At 46.8% G+C, this 25222-nt stretch overlaps 1 protein-coding gene across 15 annotated transcripts in view, besides 1 other annotated feature; it reads left to right on the plus strand.

The window, feature by feature from the left end:
• ADCK1 (aarF domain containing kinase 1) overlaps positions 1–25222 on the plus strand; it is a 134906-nt gene that overhangs the window by 91776 nt on the left and 17908 nt on the right. For 8 of the 15 annotated variants that reach the window (NM_001366490.2, NM_020421.4, NM_001366486.2 and 5 more), the window contains 2 exons: positions 7216–7374; positions 15919–16035. In NM_001366490.2, coding sequence (NP_001353419.1) covers positions 7216–7374; positions 15919–16035 — 276 coding nt within the window. Of the gene's footprint in view, positions 1–7215; positions 7375–8674; positions 8791–15918; positions 16495–22553; positions 22645–25222 lie in introns of those variants that run through there. The other 7 variants (NR_158989.2, NR_158987.2, NM_001366485.2 and 4 more) reach the window with 5 other exon arrangements.
• Positions 20968–21483: an enhancer, noted in NCBI's record as "H3K4me1 hESC enhancer chr14:78379195-78379710 (GRCh37/hg19 assembly coordinates)". NCBI's record gives its function as "activates a minimal SCP1, AML or CMV promoter by ChIP-STARR-seq in primed H9 embryonic stem cells {active_cell/tissue: H9 hESC(primed)}" and the evidence as "EXISTENCE:reporter gene assay evidence [ECO:0000049][PMID:30033119]".

Below are 25222 nucleotides of genomic sequence, written 5' to 3' on the forward strand. Positions count from 1 at the left end.
ATATTTTGTTTTTCTGTGTTGAGACCTAAATGGTGTCTTATATTTAGGAATGACAATCCAAGAAAGGTATTAAGCATTTTTGGCTTGAAGAGTGATTTCTAGGGGACATTTAGGGCTACCAGAAACTTAGGGACAGAGAGGAGGAAAAGCTACTTTTCTGCATAGCCTCTACGTCTCCTTTCATGCCAACTCCAGGTGTGGTGTGCCCTTATGCTTCTCTCCCACTGTTGTACACTCTCCTCTGCCCCATAATTGATCACAGCCTGGTCTTAAGAGGAAAGCAATCTGATGAAAGCAGTTCACAGTAAAGAGAGTGACTGATAGGCTTAACCTCTTTATATTTGCATCTTAAGAGGTGACCTTCTACACCCAAACTCATAACTACTGTGCATTTACAGGGTGATAGAGGTCTACAGGGGTGAGACTTTTGAGAGCAAGGGGGTGGTGACTACTGGTTGTGTCAGGTGGGATGCTTTCAGTTGGCTCTAAGAATCAGAAAATCCAACTGAAAGTGGTATAGCTAATACTAACCCTTATTATCTCACATGTGAAGATGTCTGGAACTTGGGTCAGCTGTTCCAAGGCTGACAGCCCAGCACCTCATTGTTTGTAATGACTCAGACTCTTTCCATGTTTCACTCTGCTATCTCAGCTTCCTGGCTCGCCCTCCTGAGCGAGCACCGCACGTAGTCCCAACACAGCTGCAACAGTTCCTGGTGTTACAAGTAGGGGACATCCTCATATTCTTTATCAGAAAAAAAAAAAAAAAGAGATCCCTAGCAGAGTTCCCTTCATTTGTTATTGTCCAGAAGTAATGCCCACTCCCAAATCAGTCTTGGCAAGAAAACTGAGACCACCTTGATTGGCTTAAACCAATCATGACTCACCTTCTCAGACCTGCTATCCTTGAAGGACATGAAGGATGTACAAACTTGGGGTTGTGTTAGCCAGGATGATGGGGGAGATGGCTGTTGGTTTGGCCTCCAATAGCATGTACTACCCTAGAGTTTTGTGTCTACTCTGAACCTGGCAGTTTTGTGTCTCCTGTGAACCTTCTCCCTTGGAGAGGGGAGAGAGCCTCTAGGATAGACTGTTGAAGGATGGCAGGGAAGGGAGGCTGATTCTCAGTAAATGGTGTTCAGTGAATCTGATGGTGTCGATGACTTTGCACAAAAGAAAAAGGCAGAGCCAGGGATGTTTTTTCAGCTTTGTCATTATCACCTGATATTGTCCCTTTAATAGTTGGGGCAACTCTACTTCTAGATGCACGGCCAGTGACTCTTATTGATTTGAATGGCTGTCCAGAGCCAGACTAATTGGGCCCAGAGATTGGAACAATGATTCAGCAGGAGGGGGTGAACTGATGAAGCATAGTCCATCCGTCTGCTGGCGGGCTGGCTTTGCAGCAGTTCTTTTCTACCCACAATATTGGGGAGCTTAGCGGGCCATATCTCACTGCCATTCTCACTGCTTGAGGGCAGGGTAGGACTCAGATGATCCCTGAGCTGGGGGACTACCATAATCTCCAGGTCCTAATCACCCTGTATCACTCCCAGTTATTTCTCCAGCTTCTGAATTGATGAGGAACACTCCCTTGCCCTCTCACCCTAAGGAATCTAACTCATTGCCAAGTACTATGCCCTTCATGCACTACTGGGCCCCAAGGTGCTCGGCTATGTTGGGGTGGGACTCTTTGGCCTGAGCACTAAATCTGATCTATTGCTTGATGTCATCTGGCCCATCCCAAGGGTCTCAAAAAGTGAAAACCCATGGCAGTCATGTTTTTGACCTTTTCTGAGCAGCATTTTCAGTGCATTCTGTCTACCATCTTGTTTCTTCCCTTCCTTCCTTCCTTTTTTTTTTTTTTTTGACAGAGTCTCACTCTGTTGCCCAAGCTGGAGTGCAGTGGTGCGACCTTGGCTCACTGCAACCTCCACTGCCTGGGTTCGAGTGATTCTCCTACCTCAGCCTCCCAAGTAGCTGGGATTACAGGTATCTGCCACCACGCCTGGCTAATTTTTGTATTTTTAGTAGAGACGGGGTTTTGCCTTGTTGGCCAGGCTGGTCTTAAACCCTGACCTCAGGTGATCTGTCTGCCTCGGCCTCCCAAAGTGCTGGGATTACAGGCGTGAGCCACCGCGTCCAGCCTCATCTTGTTTCTTTACTAAATGTGTTGTTTGAACAGTGGGTGGCTAGGCAATGTTTATGTCGGCACAGAATCCAACAGCGATTTTATTTTTTAAAATATATATTAAAAAATATCCAGAGATGTGGGCCACCCAAGGAAACTTCTCTTCACCCTATAAATCTGTTTTCTAAAAAGCGTGTACTTTAATAACTTATCAGAACAAAGATAAACCCCGTGAATGGCAAGCTATGTACATCACTCTGAACTGATTTTCGATCCTTGTTGAACGTTCATTTTTACCAGTTTGGATCGGTACAGGCATTCTATTTAGTGTGCTGTTTTCCCATGGAACATTATTTCTTTTATAATGTACAGTAACTTGATAACAGTAACTTGCATTTCTAGTTGCATTTTACAGTTTACAAAGCTCCTCTGCCTTATCTTGAGCTTCCTATTGTATTGTCCTGTGTCGTTGTGTTGTGTTGCACGAGGCAGGGCTGCATAAAGAACGAACAAGAAAAGCCCAGGTCAGAGTTTGTTTTGACAATTCCTGTTTTCTACTATGTAAAATTGGCAAGAAAAGGATTAAATGAAAGTGTATGTGTAAAGTGTTCGTAGCACAGTGCCTGGCATGTAGTAGGAACTAAATAATGATAATTCCCCTTCTCTTTTGCTATTGTAAATAACAGTCAGTCGTTTTATTTCTTTTTCTTTTCTTTTCTTGTTTTTTTTTTTTTTTTTTTTTTTTTTTTAGATGGAGTCTCACTCTATTTATTGCCGCCCAGGCTGGAGTACAGTGGCATGACCTAGGCTCACTGCAACCTCTGCCTCCTGGGTTCAAGCAATTCTCCTGCTTCAGCCTCCTGAGTAGCTGAGATTACAGGCACATGCCACTACACCTGGCTAATTTTTATATTTTTAGTAGAGATGGGGTTTCCCCATGTTGGCCAGGCTGGTCTTGAACTCCTGATCTCAAGTGATCTGTCCGTCTTGGCCTCCCAAAGTGGTGGGATTACAGGCGTGAGCTACCACGCTTGGCCCATTGACTAGTTTTCAAACTTATGTGTGACTCTTCATTTTTTCCATTACATTTCTGTGTGGCCCATGATTGATTTTTCCTCCTGCAAGCCAATGACCCGATAGGAAGATAGTCTTATTATTTTACCTTGAAGGAAGTATTAATTTTTAAATATACCTTGATTGATTCATAAGGTTCTAGATCAAGTAGAGAATTCTCAGGCATTCTGAAATTACGATTCCCCCAAATTCAGAAGTTATGGCTCTTTCCACTAAAACCTCAGAAATAGAAAAACTCATTTTCTTTGGATAACACATGTGAACATATAATTATCTCAGAGAAGCAGACAAACTCTTTGAAATATTCATTTGTTCATTCATTTACTCATTCATTCATTCATGTGAGTATTCAATAAACATCTGTGGAGTGTTGAGTAGGTGGTAGGCACTGGTGAAAACATTGGCTGTTAGAAGAATTTTATGGAGAAGATGCATTTTGGGAGAAAAATCAAAAAGTCAAATTGATAACAACACCTGTTTTATTTTAGTTGATTGCATGTGTTGTCAAAAAGAAAAATTGAAATGAATCTGCTTAAGGTGGGCTAAGTAGATTCATTTAAGAAGGGAGTTGAATGAAACCAGACGGTGAAACTGAGTTTTATTTTACTTTCTTCAGCCAAGAAAAGTCTAAAATGGCAGCAGCCCGAACTACTTGAACCCGACGACTCTTAACCTGACCCCCTCCCCACCCACTGAATTTCAAGGGGTTGGTGAACCCCTTGAATTATGTGCAAAATTATGTATGTTCATTTTCTGGGCTTCGTAGCGGGTATCAAGTTTTAAAATTGGTGACCTCCTATAAAGGGGATGGTGACATTCCATAAATCTGAGAACCACTGACTTCTATTCAAAGAACCCCCTTCATTTTAAGTAACCAAGGAAGTGACCCACAACCCACAGGATGCCTTAGAAACCAGTTCGATGAGCACTGTAAAGTTTTCTGTGTTATGAATTAGCTTACTAATTAGTTACTAGCAATTAATATTAGTTAATATAATAGACTGCTTATGATTAATGATGTCAGGTATTACCAAGTGTTAATAATAATGAATAGTATTAATAATGACTAATTATGTAATTGATTAGTAACTGGAAAATCTTTAATGTGCCTTTCAGTGCTGCTTGGATATCAATGATAATTAAAAATTCCACAAAAAACAGTGACCATACAATAAATGATGAGGAATTACTGTTTGGCCAGAAGCTTCACCCCCAAGTAGAGACCTCACTGGGCTACAGGTAGCTCTCTGTGCATATCCACGTCTGGCCTATGGTAATTACCTGGAGGGTAATCAGTAAATATTGATTGGACAAATGAGAGAGCCTCATTGTGGCCCCTTTCCTTGCCCCTCTCGGGCGAGACCCTCTGGAGTTGAGATTGGAGCAAAATGCTGGATAGCTTTTCTTGCCTGCATTCCAAGCCCAGAAAAGTGGAATTCAGGTGACTTAGATGGCATGGCTGGCCTCCGCCTGGGCCTGGGGGAATCACTTCTGTTTCCCGTTCACTTGCTCTGCATCTGCTCTGGTTGCTGCCAAGGGCCATCTGAGGGCACTGTGACGAGATTTGATGTCTGGAGGCTGCGGTGCCCAGGTGCCAGGGCTTGAGGCATACAGTCCAGGCCTCTCTGTTGCCCCCTCTCCCTTCTAGTCTTGCTTGATACAAACAAAACATAAACTAAATCAATTATCATAAGGTCACAGGTCTAGCCCATGAAAGACCAGACAAAACTCAAAAGAAATTAAACTACAGCCAAATGTAATTAAAAGAAGTTTTGGTAGAAATTGAGCATGATAACACGGTGCGATGATTCTTTTTGGAATGGCGTCTGGTACATCACCCAGGACATAGGGCTTGAAAACAAAGCTGTAAATGCCTTGTAGTTAATAGTCTGGCTTTAGATTGATTTCTTTTGCCAACACAGCATTGGGCAAAATATCATAGAACAGGGCAAAAAGAAGCATGAGACAAGGCTTTTATCTGGGGCTCAGTAAGTCTTTCTGGAAAGATGGGAAGGGGAAGGTCTTTTGGTACCAACAGGCCCACAGCTTGTTAGTTCTTATTGCCATCTGCTATAGCCAGGGTTAGAGATGGTTGTTCTCAGATAACTCGGACTGTCATTTATACTAAGAATTACTGGGTCAATCAGTCAATGTTCTCCCCAGGCCTGGCTTCGAATGCCAGCAGGAGAGCTTATGGGAGGTCAGGGCCCTTCTGTTTCCCTCCCAGAATTCTGGAACACCTCCTATGTCCCTGGTATCACCCTTGCTCACCCACTACAGAGCCATCATCCAGGAACTTGGGCACCCATCTCAAATCCAGGGCCCTGGTGGTGGGGCAGCCTTAGGATTGTGTCTCTGCTCATGGCAGGGGCTGTGGTATGCTGTGCACAGATCACTGGGCTCTTCTTTAATTTCACATCATTAAACTGACCCCTGAATGCCAGATACATCTTCTAAAACCCCCTCTTAACATGTCATCACTCAAGAATCCACAGTGGAGTCAAATTGCCAAAAATCAAAGCTTTTCATCCAAGTGGTCAAATTCCTTCTCTCTGTCTCCTCTCGTCTTATCCAGCTTTGTTTTCTTATTCCAATTTAGTTTTTTATTATGAAACATTTTAGACGTACAGAAAGTATAGAAAATAGTATTATAAATGTTCAAGCACCAAACATTCAACTTAAGAAATAAAGTAATGACAGTTACATTTGCAGCACCCTCCCAGTGCTTTGTGAACAGACCAGAACAGATCGGGGAGCAGCCACAGCAGCAGTTGAGCTAAGTGTTTCAGAGCAAGGGCTGTAGAGTTGGCTGTGGAATTCCCAGGGGGAATTCTAGCTCGGTACTTCCTTGCTGGGCAGATTTTTTGAAAATCATATAACCCCTCAGAGCCTCAAATTCCTCATCTATAAAATGGGATAGCACTTTGGTAGGCTGAGGCAGGAGGACTGCTTGAGGACAGGAGCTTGAGACCAACCTGGGCAACACAGTGAGACTCTGTCTCTACAAAAAAATTAAAAAAATTAGCTGGGCATGGTGATGCATATCTGTAATCCCAGCCACTCAGGAGGCTGAGGTGGGAGGATCACTTGAGCCTTGGAGGTCAAGGTTGCAGTGAACTGTGATTGATCACGCCACTGCATTCCAGTCTGGGCTACAGAGTGACATCTTGTCTAAACAACAGAAAAGGGATGATAAGATGTGTATCTGTGTGCCTCCCAGAGTTGTTGCAAGGATTAAGTTTAGTAGTAAGTAAAGTGCTTAGTTTACTATTCGCAGTAGCAAAGATGTGGAATCAACCCAAATGCCCATCAATGGGAGACTGGATAAAGAAAATGTGGTAGATATACACCATGGAATACTATGCAACCATAAAAAGGAATGAGATCATGTCCTTTGCAGGGTCATGGATGAAGCTGGGAGCCATTATCCTCAGCAAACTAATGCAGGAACAAAAAAACCCAAAGACCGCTTGTTCTCACTTATAAGTGGGAACTGAACAATGAGAACACATGGACACAGGGAGGGGAACAACACACCTGGGGCCTGTTGGGCGACGGTTGGGGGGTGGGGGAGAGCATTAGGAAAAAGAGCTAATGCATGCCAGGCTTAATACCTAGGTGATGGGTTGATAGGTGCAGTAAACCACCATGACACACGTTTACCTATGAAACAAGCCTGCACATCCTACACACATATCCCAGAACTTAAAAAATAAAATAAAATAAAAAATAAGTGCTTAGTTAGTGCTGGGCACGAGGGGAACCCTCAGCAAGTGGTAGTCATGGTTACCGATGCTGGCTGTTGGGCTATCATCATCTTGGACTTGGTGCAGAGTACCAAGCTTATGGGAGAGCAGGAGCCTACTATGTTTCCCTCCTGGAATTCAGAGGAGGGATGGGCCCCAGGGGAGCAGTTTCCCTTACTCTAGGGGAGAACCAGGCAGGAAGGTAGGGAATGTCCCTTGGTATATGCTGTGGGCCAAATGACTGGGGTGCTTGTTGGATTTCAGGTGCTCGTTCTGGCTGTGAAGCAGCTGTTCCCAGAGTTTGAGTTTATGTGGCTTGTGGATGAAGCCAAGAAGAACCTGCCTTTGGAGCTGGATTTCCTCAATGAAGGGAGGAATGCTGAGAAGGTGTCCCAGATGCTCAGGCATTTTGACTTCTTGAAGGTAGGTGGGACGATGCAATGCAGGGTATGGTGGTCTGGTGGAAGAGTGTAGCGGTATGTGGGTCCCTGCCTTGAGCATCCCTTTCAGGACATAATTGGGACATCTTCTTCCTGAGTCCTCTTACTGAGGATGAATGACATCACTGGTGATGTGCATTAAATCACTTGAAGGCAATTTGCAAAGAAATATCAAGTGTGATTGTTGACCCATTAGTCAATTAAACAGATGTTTATTGAATAATCGACAACTACAAGACACTGAGCCTTAGCCAAGAACCTATATGCCGTGGTCTCTGCCTCTGTGAGGCATGGGATGGTGATGATGATGGCGATGCTGATAGCTAACACTACTGTACGCTGGGACTGTTTTAAACACATGTGTTTTACCTTGGCTCATACAGTTGGTTCTTCTGTAACAAAACATATGTGTCCCTAGAAATACTGCAGTTATGGAAAATCACATAAGAGAAACCACAGAGCTTATGGGGAAAATAGAGTTAGGGGCACAACACTCAAAAAAATTCATCAGTGGCTGGGCACAGTGGCTCACACCTGTAATCCCAGCACTTTGGGAGGCTGAGGCAGGTGGATCACCTGAGGTCAGGAGTTCGAGACCAGCCTGGCCAACATGGTGAAACCTCGTCTCTACTAAAAATATAAAAATTAGCCTGGCGTGGTGGCATGTGCCTGTAATCTCAGCTGTTTGGGAGGCTGAAGCAAGAGAATCACTTGAACCCGGGAGGTGGAGATTGCAGTGAGCTGAGATCACGCCACTGCATTCAGGTCTGGGCAACAAGAGTGAAACTCCGTCTCAAAAAAAAAAAAAAAGAAAATTCATCAGTAATACAGTAATATAGGAAAGAAAAGAAGATAGGAATGAATAAAAACCAGTAGCATAGTTTTACACATGTTAAATGGCTAAGAAATACATAAGACCACAATACACATGGCACTTTACCTTGAGCCTGCTGTGGAAGTGGGCATCAGAAGGGTTGCTGCTTGTTAGTTTTGTGGGGTGGTGGGAGGAGTCCTTTGAAATGGGACGGAGGCTGGGCATGGTGGCTGATGGCAGTAATCGCAGTTCTTTGGGAGGCGGAGGTGGGCAGATCACTTGAGGGAAGGAGTTCAAGACCAGCCTGGCCAACATGGTGAAACCCTGTCTCTACTAAAAATACAAAAAGTAGCTGGGCATGGTGGTGCACTCCTGTAATCTCAGCTACTCGGGAGGCTGAGACAGGAGAATCGCTTGGACCCAGGAGGCAGACGTTGTAGTGAGCTGAGATCATGCCATTGCATTGCAGCCTGGGCAACAGAGCGAGACTGCGTCTCAAGGAACAACAACAACAACAAAAAAGAAATGGGACAGAAAGTTGTAAGGCCAGATGTGGGTGACTCACCGACTCGCAGCGATGTCGAGGTGTGTTTGTTTTGTGTATTCCAATGTGGCACGGCTCTGCTGGATGCAGCTTTCTGCATTCACAGTGTTTCTCGCAGATGATAGTACACATAAGCACATCCAAAATTTGCATTATGATCAAACTATTCCCTAACATATCAATTGCATTGGAACAAATTTGTGTTTTCAAAACAAGTATTATAGCAGAACTGTTCTATGTAATAAGAGACACTTAATGTGGGAAACAATATCAGATAATATGAAGTCGCAGCTGTCAGTGCCCCATGAGAAGTACGGCTTCTACATGCTCTGAGGATTCAGAAGTAGGGACTCCCATGGCCTACTGGGTCAGGGCAGGCTCTGCTGAGAAGTTGGCACTAGAGTTGGTGTTCTTTTTTTTTTTTTTTTTGAGACAGAGTCTCGCTCTGTTGCCCAGACTGGAGTGCAGTGGCGCGATCTCAGCTCACTGCAGTCTCCGCCTCCTGGGTTCAAGTAATTCTCCTGTCTCAGTCTCCCAAGTAGCTGGGATCATAGGCATGTGCCACCATGCCTTACTAATATTTGTATTTTTTTTTTTAGTAGAGATGGGGTTTCACCATGTTGTCAGGCTAGTCTTGAACTCCCGACCTCAAATGATTTGCCCACTTTGGCCTCCCAAAGTGCTGAGATTACAGGTGTGAGCCACTGCTCCTGGCCCTGGAGCTGGTCCTTTTTTTTTTTTTTTAATTAATTATTTTATTATTATGATTTTTCTGAGTCAGAGTCTCACTCTGTCACCCAGGCTGGTGCGTAGTGGTGCAATCTCTGCTCACTGCAACCTCCACCTCCCGGGTTCAGGCGATTCTCCTGCCTCAGCCTCCTGAGTAGCTAGGACTACAGGTGTGTGCCACCACACCTGGCTAATTTTTGTATTTTTAGTAGAGACACGGTTTTGCCATTTTGGCCAGGCTGGTCTCAAACTCCTGACCTCAAATGATCCGCCTGCCTCGGCCTCCCAAAGTGCTGGGATTATAGGCGTGAGCCACCGCGGCCGGCCGGAGCTGGTCTTTAAGGACCATCCTGGTGTTCTCTCAGAGCACACAGGAACTGGGGAGAGAGATGTATGCTACACCACTGTTCTTCCAACACATTTGTCCTTCCTGAGGTGTATGCCTATTAAAACAGGGTTACCCCCTTTATCCCAACAGTGCAGGGCTTGGAGGGCTCTTCTGGTTGTCTACACTGAGCTTAGCTTCCAACTCTAGGATGGATCACCCTTCCCTCTTCTTTACCAGGCCTGGAGAATGCACGAGAGGGGTCACCAAGCCCTCAGGAGCTCCATGTGCAGGTTCTAGAGCCAACAGTCAAGCTGTGCTGTTCTTGGGGAGGATGGCTCAGAACATTGGATCAGGGAAAAGGGACTCTCTCATTCTTCCCTAAGGTGTCCTTTTGGCTTTTGAAGACATCATGAGAAATGGAGGAAGTGTCTATATTTTTGCTCTCCTGATTGACTAACAGGGATGGAATGACTGAAGATGTGTCTATTCTAACCACTTGAGAATCCGCAGGAGGAAGAACCGCAGCTGTGTTGATCAGTGCAGTGTATTGACACATTGACTGTGGTGGAAGATAGAACCCATGAAGTTTAGCTCTTTGTGTGTGGTGAGGGTTGGGTACGTCTCCATACTCCCAGTATGCTTGACTGGCATTTTGTTGGCTGCCATTGTCGGTGTGGATGTACAGACCCTCTTGTGTGTGTAAATCCAGGAGTGCAGCCTAGATCTGGTGTCACTGCCCCAGCCTTGGAGCTCAAACCACCAGTTCAGTGAAAACTTGGCTCTTTGAGACAAGTGATAATGTTAACTAATTAGCATAATGCTATAGAGTCTAATACATGCTTCTACTTGCTTATTCCATTTCTTTTATTCCCAAGCTTGTTGCTGTGCTGGGAGCTGAGGTTTGTCCCTGCTCTGGAAAACTTCTCATCTAGTGGAGGGACAGACACAGCAATGTGTTGTTGCAGTGCAGGTTTGTTAGCACCATGACAGGCATTCATCTGTGTTTCTGTGGATTCCCAAGAGGAAGTACGTAATTCTACCCAGGATAAAGGGCTCTGGTGAGTGCTTCTAAGAAGTATTGACTATAGGCAATATATATTGATTATTTCTTCTTCATCAGGAGCTGCTGCATTGAACAGTCTGCAGGTACTATGGTGTTGAGTCCTTCCAGCAGGCATCAGCCCATATTGCAGAGGACAGTTTGAGTAGAGGAGCTAGGGCAACATCCCAGATTTTCTGACTTCAAGTGTGGTGCTCCTCTCAGGATACTCTGCTGCCATTTACCGGCAGGGGTGCCCCTCAGAGCCAGAACTATGAGCCAGACAGAACCATCTCCTCTACTGTTCCCATGGAAACAGCAAAATTGTCCCCTGGCTGGGGCCAACTGGCAAGTGCCAGACCAAGACATGCAATAATAACAATAACACACATTTTTCAAATGAAGATGCCAAATGGGTAAATAATGAATATACCAATTTGACCTGCTGTTTCCAAAACTTGCACACCCTTCCTAAGACAGTGGTGGAATTAAGGCTCTTGAGTAATTAATTTTGCCTAAACACATAACAAGGGGGAAGTGAATTTTGCACTGTGAACCCAGTTCAGCTCTTAAAACTGGAGATAGACTGCTTTTGCACACTGGCTCCCGATCACAACATCTGTGCATAATTAAGCCTCCGCAAAGACTTTACCTCTCAGTGTGTGAGGCATCTTCCGGTGCTTATGTGCGGTTTAAGAACCTCAGCCCTGTGCTATAAATCTCCCAGGCTCAGACAAGCACTGAATGCAAATATGGCGTCAGGGGGACTGGGAGAGGGTGAGGGGGCAGCTAGGCTGAATGATTAAGGCCAGGCTTAGTGGATCTGGCAGCAGAGCGTATGTGCCAGGGGATGGAAACAGGACAAGTGGTAGGGTTTGTGACTCACCTGGGGACAAGGTGGCAGGGGAGAAGCTTTATAACCACAGGGTTTGGGACTGGAAGTGATGAGACCATTTCTGTATGTGTGGAGGTGGGGATAGGTGTGCAGGGCCATGCCAGGGTTCCTTAGTGTGAGGTAAGGAGCCCAGGACTCTAGAAATTGTGGACAAACCCTGAGGAGATGTGCATGCTTTTTGGGAAGTATGATAACTTCCCATGAATCTCAAAGATTAGGAACTACAGATGGATAGTAATTAATATATAACTTCTTTTTTGCAGAGTGATTTATATTCTTTAATTCTTTAATTCTTACAACAGCCTCACAAGGGAGGTGCCATAATCACCCCCATATCATCAGTTGGGAGACTGAGGCTCAGAGCTATCAACCCTTTGGGCAGGGTCACAAGGCTTACCACTAAGGGGAGGGAATAGAGGTAGCCTGCTCCAGAGCCTGCATGTTCACCCTCCATATGGTTTTGCTCTGTGGGGAAGTTGTGAATTCCAGTGAACCGTCTAGAGCATAACTCTCAGCCCTGGTGTGTATCAGAGCCCTCTGTGAAACTCGATGTGGCTGTCCTAAGAGCAATCGATGTTTTTTCCAGCAGCTGCTAGTGTCTGGTTCCATGTTGAGTGCCAGTACTCTGCTCATAGTAGTGGGAAATGGGGGCGGAGGTGGGGTTGTGCTTCCACTGTAACCATTATCACCATATTTTTGGTGGAGAAACTGGTGTTCAGAGAGGTTATATAACTTACCCACAGTCACACAGCTTTTAGGTGGCAGAGCCGGGGCTCCAGCCAGCAGCCTGACTCCAAATCTGCCGGTCTGACTGCATGTCTCCAGGCCTTCTGCTGTGCTGGACTCAGGCTCCAGGAGGACTGTGGGCCTAGGGTGATGGGCACTGTCTCAGACAAGCCAGGCGCAGCCTGTTTCGTGGGCATGTTGACCAAAGCATAGAAACAAAGCAGAAATGTGAGGTCAGGGCCAGACTGTGAGGCTGAGGCCCAGGGTCTTGGGCTAAAACTTCTCTAATTGGTGCCCTCCTTCTTGGGGTCCAGATTGGCATCCGTGTGGGAGGCAGGAGGAGCCCACAGGAGGGAGGCCTCTGCTCTGTGGCAAAGAGGTAGAACCTGGACCCAGGGGTCCTAATGGTCAGGGTGTGACCCTGCTGGTGGGGCCGCTGAGCACCCTGGCCATGAGCTCCTTAGAGTTTCAGCTTGCTTTGTTTGGGGGTGGGATGGGGGAGTGCGGGGTGCTTATTGACTCTTTCAAATTTCTCTTTTTCATTTTTTCCTTCTTTGATGGAAGAAGCATAGGACAGGAAATGTGGGCGCTCACTTCACCCCACACCCCCAGGTCCTCCTGCCCATCTGGTGATTTAGGCGCAGCTCACTTTTTTAACTGAGCAGGAGCAGTTTGGCATTTTGCAGTCATTTCCATGTTATGTCTGTCCAGGGGCACCTGTGGTTCTGAAGCTCCCATGACAAATTCCACTGTTTCCCAGGTTTGATATTTTAGTCATTTCAGATTTAAGCAGCAGAAGCAAGGGGCACATTCTGTGGTTAGACTGGAATGGTGATGTTTGCAGGGAGACCAAAAAGGGGGAAACCGCAGTACACCCAGGACCCTGATGCACAAGCACAGAGAAGCTCCAGCCTGTGGGATTTCTGTTTCCACCTGTGACTCTTTCCTAGCTGGTTTTTTTTTTTTTTTTTTTTGAGATGGAATCTCACTCCCTCTGTCACCGTGGCTGGAGTACAGTGGCGTATTCTTCACCCACTGCAACCTCCGTCTCCCAGGTTCTAGCGATTCTCTTTCCTCAGCCTCAGTGATCTGCCCTCCTTGGCCTCTCAAAGTGCTGGGATTACAGGCGTGAGCCACTGCGCCCAGCCCCTCGCTGTTTTTTAAGCTGCCTCTGGTGGGGCTGGCTAGAGATTTGACCTCTTGTCTCCAGAGCCTTAGGGGCCCACTGTCAAAGGTAGGTTTACAAACAAACCCAAGGGAAGAATTTAACCCGAAAATATGTCCCATTCATTTGGAAGCCATGAACAAAAACAACAGGCAGGGCACGGTGGCTCACGCCTGTAATCCCAGCACTTTGAGAGGCTGAGGCAGGAGGATCTCTTGAGTCCAGGAGTTCGAGGCTGCAGTGCGCTATGATGATGCCACAGCATTCCAGCCTGGGTGACAGAATGAGACCCTGTCTCTAAAGAAACCGACAAAGCAACAATAGCAAACATGCACTCACTTTTTTAAAAAGAAACTTTTTGAAAAATGCCAAGCAAGTCTAAATTTTAAGTTCAAAGTATCAGTTTCACAGATTTCTCTATTGGCCCAGATTTTCAAATGGCAGAAACCGCAGTCAAGCAGCAAACCAAAATAACACCTTGCTTTCTGGTGGAAACTTTGTTCCAACTAGAGCATTTCACTTGTATGTACAGCCCCCATTTATCCTCAGAGGTCCTTACTGAGATAGGGCAGAAACAATTCTGCTTTCCAGTGAGGAAGACTGGGATGTAAAGAAGTTAAGTGGCTAGTCTAAGACACAACAGTATTAGCAGAATTAGGAACAGGAAATAGGTCTGTTGACTTGAGGGCCACTATGTTATTGCTAGATGAATTTGGGTGGTCAGGGTAAAGGAAAATCTTACTCTCCAAAACATTTGAAAAAGCTGCCCATGTTTCTTTATTTGTAAGAGGAAATAAACTCCTCACAATTTGGGGGAAACTCGGCATGCTGGAAGCCCAGTAACCCCTCCCTCCTGGCTGTGGGGGTACTGGTGGGTGTCCCTTGCTCACATGGCAGCCTGGTTGCATTCTAGTCTCTTGCCCGCTCCTGGAGAAATCTGTTCTCTTTTTGGTTTTTGAGTGTTATGAGAGTCAGAGAGGGTTGGAGAGTGTATGTTAGTAATGCATTTGTCTGTAGGCAACTGAAAGCCTCATTTAGAGTGCCTTAAACAAAAGAATTTGTTGTCTTCACATAGCAAGAAGGTTTGCAGTGGTTGCCTACTGACATATGGTTTTGGTGGTTTAACAGTACCAGAGCTGGCTTCTCAGATTTTTAAATTTTTTTATTTTTCCTCATTGTTGCAAGATGGCTGCTACAGCACCAACAGTCACATTCACATTCACTTTCGAGGCAAGAAGAGAAGTGGAAGAAGAGTAGCACTATGCAAATACCCCCTTTTTTTTAAATCAAGGAAATAAAAACCTTCCCAGAATCCCCTAGCAGGTTTCCATTTTTGTTCATAAGTCAGAACTATGTCACATGGCCATACCTACTATAAAGCAGGCAAGGAAAGTATTTAGGTTTTTTATTTGTTTGTTTGTTTTCAGACAGGATCTTGCTCTGTTGCCCAGGCTGGAGTGCAGTGGTGTGATGTATAAGGTCACAGCACACTGGCTTTGACAGCGATCCTCCCACCTTAGCCTCCCAAGCTGGGATCACAGGCACGCACCACTATGCCTGGCTAATTTTTGTATTTACTGTAGAGACAGGGTTTCGCCACGTTGCCCAGGCTGGTCTTGAACTTCTGAGCTCAAGCAATCCACCTGCCCCAGCCTCCCAAAGTGCTGGGATTATAGGTGTGAGCCACTCCGCCTGGCCCCAGTATTTAGTTTTTTTCATCTCTAGGGAAGAGGAGGGTTGGGAATAGATGTTGGGTTAATATCCAATGTTGTCTGCCCCAGGAAACGTGTTTTCCTACAGGAAACAGGCATGAGAAACAAAATTTATCATCTGGTTAAAACTCAGTCATTTGCTCAATACACACAATGCACCCATTACCTGGGTGAAATATTGGAGGCAGAGGGAGGAGTCCGAAGTAGGCCTGGTGGCGGGATGGGGAGAGGAAATATCCTTAACAGCAATGCCCAGGTGTGAGGTGTTCCAACATTTTCCTCCCAAGTCCCAACTTTAGTTTTGGCTCTTAACAGCATTAGAAGGCACTGAGGAGAGTTGGCAAAGCCGGTATCTAAAGGAGTGGGCGGAGGCCTGCTGAGCAGAGGTGGAGTAGCCAGCCTCCCTCTTGGCCTGGCTGTCCCATCCCCACTGTCACCGCTGAGGTCCCTCCTGGGCCTCTTCTCCCTTGCTCTGGGAGGAGCCTCTGTTGCTGTCTGGCTCGCTGTGCCACATTGTCATCCTTGCCCGATTCCCAGCTTCCCCAGACCATCTGACCTGTCCCTTCCTATCCCAGGTCCCCCGAATCCACTGGGACCTGTCCACGGAGCGGGTCCTCCTGATGGAGTTTGTGGATGGCGGGCAGGTCAATGACAGAGACTACATGGAGAGGAACAAGATCGACGTCAATGAGGTGAGGTCAAGAGCTCAGGGCTGCTGTGCCGGGGAACGTGGGCTTGGTCAAGGCTGCCCAGGAAGTGCCTGTGTGTCCAGGTGAGGCCTCAGAGTCTGGCCCCCTTGTCTTTAATAGGGCCCATTGTCTGGAGAATTATAAACTTTGAGCAAGAAAGATTCTTTCAGGTCATTTAGGCCAGCCCTGTGCACACAGCGGCCTGCAGGGACATGCTGAACCCCTTCTGCCATTACCTGCTTTTCCTTTGTACCATCTGAGCCCCACAAAGCTAAGCGGCCACAGAGAACAATGATGCAAAATCAGTGGGACTTAATCCTTTTGGCTCTGTGGGGCCTGTCTGTTGTCTCTTCCCTCTTCCTGCCCTTCTCTCTCCTTCCCACTTCCCAGATCTCAAGGGATCAGGCAAAAAGGGGACAGCAGCAACCAACTGCATCAGCCTCCTAGAGCAGGAAAAAAGAGGTGGGCTTTGTGTGTCCCCCCTCCCATCCCCCTTGTCCCAGGGAATACTGGCCAGTGGGTAGGACCTGTCCCTCACTTTCTGCTTCTTGGTTGCACAGGGTCCCACAGGAATGGGTGGAGTTGTACTTTTTCAACAACATTCATAATTTCATTTTTATGTTTTTAGAGATGGGGTCTTGCTCTGTTGCCTAGACTGGCGTGCAGTGGCACAATCATAGTTCACTGTAATCTGGAACTCCTGGGCTCAAGCAGTCCTCCCACTTTGGCCTCTCAAAGTGCTGGCATTACAGGTGTGAGCCACGTGGCCAGGCTCAACATTGATCATTTTAATAGTGTCTGCTATATGCTAGGTATGGGGGCTCGCAGGGGGACCAGACCTAGTCCCCAGAGCTTAGCATCAGAGTCAGACACACATCTAAATCCTTGCTGTATCTCAGGCAGCGAGAGGGTGTGAGGAGAACCCCAGGGAGAGTGAGGAAGAGGCACTGAGGCCTGCCACAGGTTGGTGTCCCCAGCAGGATGAGTAGGAGTTTTCCAGGGAGTGGCTTTGCAAGAAGGGGAAGGGAATGGGTGAAGTTTGGCAGGGCTGGGGCAGGATTCCTTGGGGTGTGTGGGGAGATAAAGTAATGGTCTTGGGTGTGACCTTGAGGCACTGTGGAGTCACTTCAGGGTTTTGGGGAGTGCAGCAACATGTTCTGCCCTCTGGGATGGAAGGAAGGAAGTGGGCCACGCCCAGTGGAGGTAAATGCTTTTTTTTTTTTTTTTTTTTTCCCTGAGACGGAGTTTTGCTCTTGTTGCCTAGGCTGGAGTGCAATGGCGCAATCTTGGCTCACTGCAACCTCCGCCTCCTGGGTTCAAGTGATTCTCCTGCCTCAGCCTCCCAAGTAGCTGGGATTACAGGCATGCGCTACCATGCCTGGCTAATTTTGTATTTTTAGTAGAGACAGGGTTTCTCCATATTGGTCAGGCTGGTCTTGAACTCCTGACCTCGGGTGATCCGCCTGCCTCGATCTCCCAAAGTGCTGGGATTACAGGCGTGAGCCACCGCGCCTGGCTGTGAATGCTCTTTTCTATTCCACTCCCCATGTCCACAGGCAGTGCATGAAGATGAGCGTGAGCATGTGGTCCCAATGGGGAGTTGGCCCACAGGAGAAAGCCATACCTTGGCTCAGCAGATGAGCCCAGGGGGGTGGCAGGGGAGTGTGGTGGTTGCACAGGCCTCCTGGTGGCCATGTGACTGCTGTAAATGGGGTCAGTATCTGCCTCTAAGAGGGGCTGTGAAGACTATGTGAGTTAGGGTGCAAACAGTGCTAAGCACAGTGCCTGGTGTGTGGCTAGCATTCCAGAAGAGTAGCTGGGTGGTGGTTGTTGATTTCCTTATATTATCTTTGGGCTCTGTTCTTTCTTTCTCCTTTTACCATTAGCATTTATTGCATGCCTAACTTCCCTGTGCCAGGCCCTTTTCTCCATAATAAACTTATGAGGGTGGTCTCATTGTCTCCATTTTGCAGACAAAGAATCAGAGTCTCAGAGAGAGAAGGTCACACAGCTTAGCAGAGGTGGGATTGAGACCTGAGTCTCCCTGATTTCACTCTTCCTGTTAGGCCACAAAGGAGGGGCCGCATCAAAGTGCACAGAGCTGCTGCCAGGAGCATGGTGGGAACGTTTCTCTGTGGCTGGCTCAGGCCTTCTAGGAAAGCTGTTGTCCCCTGACTTAGGGAACAGTGCTTCAATAACCCATTCAAGGGCCTTGGGGTGTGTGGGATATGGGCAGGCTACACTGAAACAGATACCACTCTGTTTTACCCAGGGCAGCTTTGCCAATGCGTGAGCTGCCTATTGGACTTTTCTGGAAGAGTTCTGCTGCTTGGAGGGAAAGGGATGAGAAAAAGAGTTCATCCTTCTATTTTACAGATGGGGTGAAAAGTTCTGAGAGGGAGCAAATGTCTTTCCTGAGGTCACTTGGCCAGTAACACAAGTCAGGGCTTCTGACTCTGCTGCCTTCACTGGTGGCTTCTAGGGTGGTACATGGGAGGTGTTCAAGCAGAATACAGTCTTTGGTTCCAGTGGCGAAGGGATTCGATGGGATGGGAGGCCACCTCTGGCCTTTCCTGAACGGCCTTAAAGGGAAACAGGGTCTGTCGCCTGCTGATCAGGAAATATCCCAGAGGCCTCATCCCCGCCAGGTTCCTGGCATTTACTTACTACCAGCTGTGGAGGCATTTTCATTCCAGCAACACCCTCAAGTCCATTAATCTCTTTGGATCCAGTGAGCCCAGAGCCGTAATGGTGTTTAATCAGAGGCAACGTTGATTTTCCAAACAAATGCAAACACAGAAAGGTGCGCTCTGGGTAGTTGTTTGCTTATGGCTGAGTGCTGTGCCTGGCCGGAGGGGGCAGCTAGGCTGGAGCTGGGCAGTAGGAGCTGGGCAGGGCGTACCCTCTGAGGACTGGTCTCATCTGCTTCTGCCTCCCCGCTCTTTTGATACCTTGTAGATAAAGCCAGTGGTCTGTGCAGAGCAGATCCTTGGTAGACATTCTTAAATTAGTGAATGGGTAAACAAACCAGCCTCACACCCTAGATTGGCCTCTACCAGGCAGGCCTAGGGGAGAGTGTTGGTTGTTTTCTTGTGGACATGCAGAATGGGGCAAGCTGATATCAGAGTTATTTGGGGAAAAACAATAACTAATAATAATTATAAGCAACTAATATGTGCCAGGCATATGACACACATAATCTCTACTCATTACAGCTCTCCTATACAGTATATATTATTAACCCTATTTACAGATGAGAAAGCAAATGCTCAGAGAGGTTAAACAACTTGCCCCGTATCACACAGCTAGCAGGGGTAGAACCAGGGTTTGAACTCAGGTCTGCATGACTCCAAAGTCCTTGCCCCTCTACCTTCTCCATTTCCCTGCCAGGGATCTATAGGTTGGTGCAAAGGTAAATGTGTGTTTTGTTTTTTATTTTGGGCCATTGCAAAAACCACAATTCTTTTTGCACCAACCCAATACCTTGGGCTGCTGGAACCTGGAGCCACTTGGTAACTAACTACTCAGAGGAGCTGGAGCACCATCTGAGAAGCATTGCTCTGCACCAAGGCAGTGTCTGAATGTAACACCTCTCTCTCTGGCTTACATCAAGGATCACTTCATAGAAACATTTTTCTGTTTTATCGTACCCATCTCTAAGTAAGTGATTTTGTGAGGACTGTGTGAGTTAATGCACAAACAATGCTTTGCACAGTGCCTGGCGTGTGCTAAGTAAGTTCCCCAAAATGATAGTGAGATGAATGTTGTTGTTGTTGTCATTGGGCTATTTTTTTCTCTTCTACCTCCCCAGCTTTCTTTTTTTTTTTTTTTAAACCATTAATGTTTACTGACTGCCTGGCTCTGTGTACCAGGAGCTTTCTGCATTATCAACTTATGAGGGAGGTCTTATTGTCTCAGATTTGCAGATGAAGAATCAGAGACTCAGAGAGGGAAGATAACTTACCTGAGGTCACAAATTTTAATTGTATACCTCAGTAAGTTTCCATGTGAATATAATATGTAATCACTGTCCAGATAAAGTTGCAAGTCATTTCTAGCTCCCTGGCGAGCTCTCTCACGTCCCTCCCGGAGCTAATGCTCTTTTGAGTTCTGCCACCATAGATGACCTGCACCCATTATTGAACTTCACATAAATGGAATCATACAGTTTTGGGATCTGACGTCTTTGTCATCAATGTGGGGCTCTTCTGGAATCTATTTTGTTTCATTGGTCTATCCTTGTAATGCCACACTATGTTAATTTCTTAATCCCCAGTCCCTGGCTTTTAGGCTTTGCATGACTTGGTAGCTCTTTGGCAGTCTGAGATGATGTTATTAAATACTTCCGCAGAAACCCCCACAGTGGGCTATGGGCCACTATGGTGCTCTAAGTACTGTCACTTACCATCAGTAGTGTTGGGAGTAGATTAGGGACAGGCCTTACTCTGAATAAATTAATCTATCATGTCTCTTACCAACTAACATCAAAGCCACGGCCTTGAAGACTACGGAGGAGCGTGTGTGTGTGTGTGTGTGTGTGTGTGTGTGTGTGTGTGTGTGTAATGAAAGAGTCCACAATCCTGAAAGTTTCAGATAGACTCCTGAGGTTCTAAAGTCTCCTTAGGACTGTGGTACTCAGCGAGCCAGCCCTGGAGTGACTCCCTCCTGAGGGCAGCCTGGCTGTGAGCATTCCTTGGGGAGGGAGGTACAAGGGCTAGATAGGAGTGACAGGGGCGAAAGTCTTACTCTGAATCCTAGGGTGTAGTGTGATTAGTGGCATCTTAGCTGCTATAAGCAGATGTCTATCCTGGAAGATGGCTGTAGAAGGGACCCCTCTTGAGGTGGGTGGGGATGGCTCCAGAGCCCCCAACCACTTGTTGTATCAGCCTCACTCCGCTTTGAAGAGGCCTCCTCACCCTACAGCATCCCAGTCCCACTCGGCCCAATAGACTTGGATAGGGAAACAACAGTTTAGCAGGCAAGAGGGATAGGTTCAATCTCTGTCCTGCTGGTAGCTTGCTGTATAACCTTAGGCAAATCACATCCTCTCTCTGGTCCTCAGTATGCTTATTGAAGGTGTGGAACTAGCTAGGCTCTAACCAAGAACATTGATTCTTCAGCTTGGTGGGAGCTAAGACTTGTTCACCAACCATCTCTTTTAGAATCACTATAGGGGAAAAAAAGGAATCACCAGGGGAGCTTATTTAACAATGCAGATTCCTGGGCCCTACTCCAAACTCACTAATCCAAATCCGGGGTGGAAAGGATTGTAGAAGTTTGCAAGAATCTGCATTTCAACAGACTGTCCAGGCGGTTCAGACACTCACTGAAGTTCAGGACTCCCCATACTGAAACATGAAGCCAGGGGCTCAGGCCTTGCCAGAAGTGCCATCTGCGCTCACCCTGCTGATCTGCACCTCCAGGCCCGAGACAGCCCTGCCCAGGGGTGCCCACCTGCCAGCAAGCACGGGCCTCGGGAGCCAGCAGCCTGCAGGGGCCCTCATTTGTTTGTGTCTGTGAGCCCAGAAGCAGATATTACCAAGGGCCTGACCTGGTGATCATATTTGCCAGTCACTTTAAGAGCTGGCGACAATGACTGTCATTGATCTCATTAAAAGTAAAGGTCGTGCAGGAGTCCTCTTTCCCGGGCTGGGTGGCGCCTCCCCAAGCCACAGAACAACTATTGATTGCTGGACCTTTATCGAAGGTTAATTGGATTTCAGTGAGTCTGTGTTTAAGATCCTGCCGAGGCTGAGGTTCAATGTAATTTGTGTGAAATTAGCCAAGAAAGAGGTGACAGAGACAGGAGTGTAGGGGCAGCAGGGACAGATGACTGGAGGTCTGGTGGGCAGACACTGCTGTCCGTGAAGATTGGGGGTAGTCCTGGGATGGGGTTTTAGAAGGGACACCAGCCTGGCTGTCCCAGAGACGTGGGATCCAGGAGGCGAGAGTGCCAGAGCTCCTCAGTGGTCATTATGTGGACTTAGGTTCAGTCCCCTGTCCTTGGGGTGGTGCTGCTGGTGTGTGGTGCAGCCTGCAGAGCCTGTCTGTTCCCAGAGCATCAGTCTCCATCTTCTGTCAGGGTCGGGTGGGGATCTAGGGGTTTAGCTGGTACTTTTAAAGTCTTTCAGTTAATCTTTCTTTTTCAGAACCCCCAAATCTCATTTTCAGAGGTGCTGGAGTCCCTCAGTTTCTGAGCCTGCTTGAGGCTCAGCAGTAATAATTATAAAGCTCTCCTGTTGCCAGCTTAGGGGTCCATGTTTTCTAGCCTGCTGAGTCACTTCTCAGTAGCTCCCTGCAGCAAACACAATTTTGCTTATCTCACTTTGCCTTCTGTTGTTGCCTCTCTATTCTTTTCTTGTTGTGGTGGGGTCTTTGCCTTCTTTACTACTTTTAGAGTCACTTTAGTGGGGTTCGTGAAGGAGTAGAGTCCGTGGCCTGGGTTCCACCTGCCATGCTTAGCCAGAAGCCCTTGCTATGCTTCTTCTAGTAGTTCTTAATTCCATTCTGTGTCATTGCAGGAGCAGCGAAAAGGTCTCACATTTGCTTTCAGCAAATGATTTCTCGAGCAGCTACCATGTGCAAGCACTGAGTGCACTTGCTACAATAGAGGTGTGAGCAGAGTGTGGGAGAGGGTGGGGCTGGGTGAGGCTTTATAGAGGTTGGGTCCTGGGTGGGAAGAGCAGAGGGTTTCAAAGTTAGGGCCCCTGAGATTGTGTATTGGCTGGTGCCCTTGGGTAAGCAACATCCTCTGAGTGTGAGTTTTCTCATCTATGCAGTTGGAGAGATAACATCACTTACTGCATAGGGTCATTGTGTGAATTTTGCAAACTGTGAAGTTTTGTAAAAACAATGTTACTGTTACTTATAATTCATGCGTTCATGGTTCACAGAGGCATGTCTTCCTCCATAGAATCTTCGAGAATCCTCTTTGCTCCCCTTCCTGCCCACTTACCTCTATTTTCTGAGTATAAAGACTTGGAGTTGGGTAATAGTCATCTATTAAGCATATGGTACCCCCTTACCCCCACTGTAAAAGCCATGCTGAAGTTTCTACCTTTCCCCTTGTCACCACCTCCAGTTGAATAGGACATTTGCATTTTGGCTCAGTGTCATTTTTCCCCTGCTGGGCCTGTCTGGCTGTCTGGTAGAAGATGCCCAGACCAACATAGAGCAGCTGCGGAGGCATGAAGACCTTCTACCAAAATCACCAGAAGAAAACATCTTCTTCCATTGTCCATCCCTTCATTGCTTCTTGGACCAAATCTTTTTTTTTTTTTTAATACTTTAAGTTTTAGGGTACATGTGCACAACGTGCAGGTTAGTTACATATGTATACATGTGCCATGTTGGTGTGCTGCACCCATTGACTCGTTATTTAACATTAGGTATATCTCCTAATGCTATCCCTCCCCCCTCCCCCCTACCCCCAGCCTACAACAGGCCCCAGAGTGTGATGTTCCCCTTCCTGTGTTCATGTGTTCTCATTGTTCAATTCCCAACTATGAGTGATAAATTATGCTGCTATAAAGACACATGCACACGTATGTTTATTGTGGCACTATTCACAATAGCAAAGACTTGGAACCAAGCCAAATGTCCAACAATGATAGACTGGATTAAGAAAATGTGGCACATATACACCATGGAATACTATGCAGCCATAAAAAATGATGAGTTCACGTCCTTTGTAGGGACATGGATGAAACTGGAAACCAACATTCTCAGCAAACTATCACAAGGACAAAAGGACCAAATCTTTAAAAGAGCTCAGGGATGTTAGAGGGGTCCAGGTGTATGAGATGAGTTCCTGGAAATTTATTTCCTCCACAGCAAAGGTGTCAGGAGTGAGTAACTGTGTTGTTGTGGAGTTGGCCTTCCTGGATTCAGGTGTTGGCTCTGCTGCTTATAAGCTGTGCCACCTTGGTGAAGCTACTCACCCTTTTGAAGCCCCAGTTACCTTTTGTAAAGTGGGATACAAGAGAGTAACCCACTGGATCGTTTGATGACTGAAACAGAACGCTTGGTACGGTGCCAGGCCCAGCATATGTCCTCATCACATGTTGAATTATGCTGAATTCCACCCCTTGGAATTTTGTGGTGTCATGTGGTGCTCGTAGTACATTATGTGCCAAAAGATGGGGGGAAACATGTAGGGAAGAAACCCTTTCCCCATTTTTCATATTGACCCAGGTAAGGTGGAAAGATAGGAAAGTATTTCTTTGGACTGAGTTGTTGTCCAAGGCCAGAGATGCCAGATGTCTCTGCTTTTCCTCCCTTTCTCTGTGTCTTCCCATAGCCAAGGTCCCTAGGACCCCTCCCACCTGCTCTGGTATCTGGGTAACTTTAATGAATGTCTCTGGCCAGAGACTTGAGGAGGCTCTCTGGCCAGAGAGACTCATTAAATACCCCATGCCATGCCTCTCTGTGATGTTCCTTTTCAATCCTAACCTAGAGAAGCTTTCACTAGGTACCTAGAAGCTCCAAAATTAGAGTAACTTCCCAGTTTCCTGTGATTTTACTCAGCATCTCTTCTTTCTATTTATTTATTTATTTTAATATAGGTTTTCACTCTCACCCAGGCTGTGGTGCAGTGGCACGATCTCAGCTCACCACAGCCTGGATCTCCCCAGGCTCAGGTGATCTTCCCACCCCAGCCTCTGGAGTAGCTGGGACTACAGGGGCACGCCACCGTGCCTAGATAATTTTTGTATTTCTTATAGAGGTTTCACCATGTTGCCCAGGCTGGTCTCAAACTCCTGGGCTCAAGCCATCTGACTGCCTCGGCCTCACAAAGCCCCTCTTCTTTCTTCCTCACTATCTCTCCCGACACCATGTGTGGTCGAAGAGGTTCCCAGCACCTTTGCGCTTACAGACTCCACCTCAGCATTTGTTAGTCCAAGATTGCTCCACCCATGGACAAGTTTGGACTCCATGCTGGGCAGCTGTTTTTAATCGAGGCTTACAAATCCCAAAGGTGGTTCCTGGGGACAGGGGTGGAGATTATGGTAAAATGCTCTAGGGCCAGCACTAGTGGCTCATACCTGTAATCCCAGTGCTTTGGACAGGGCTGAAGTGGGAGGATCACTTGAGGCCAGGAGTTTGAGACCATCCCATCCTGGGCAACATAGTGAGACCCTGTCTCTACAAAAAAATAAATTAGCTGGGCATGGTGGCACATGCATGTAAT

This window comes from Homo sapiens, chromosome 14 (genome assembly GCF_000001405.40).
Source record: "Homo sapiens chromosome 14, GRCh38.p14 Primary Assembly".
NCBI classification, from domain to species: Eukaryota; Metazoa; Chordata; class Mammalia; order Primates; family Hominidae; genus Homo; species Homo sapiens.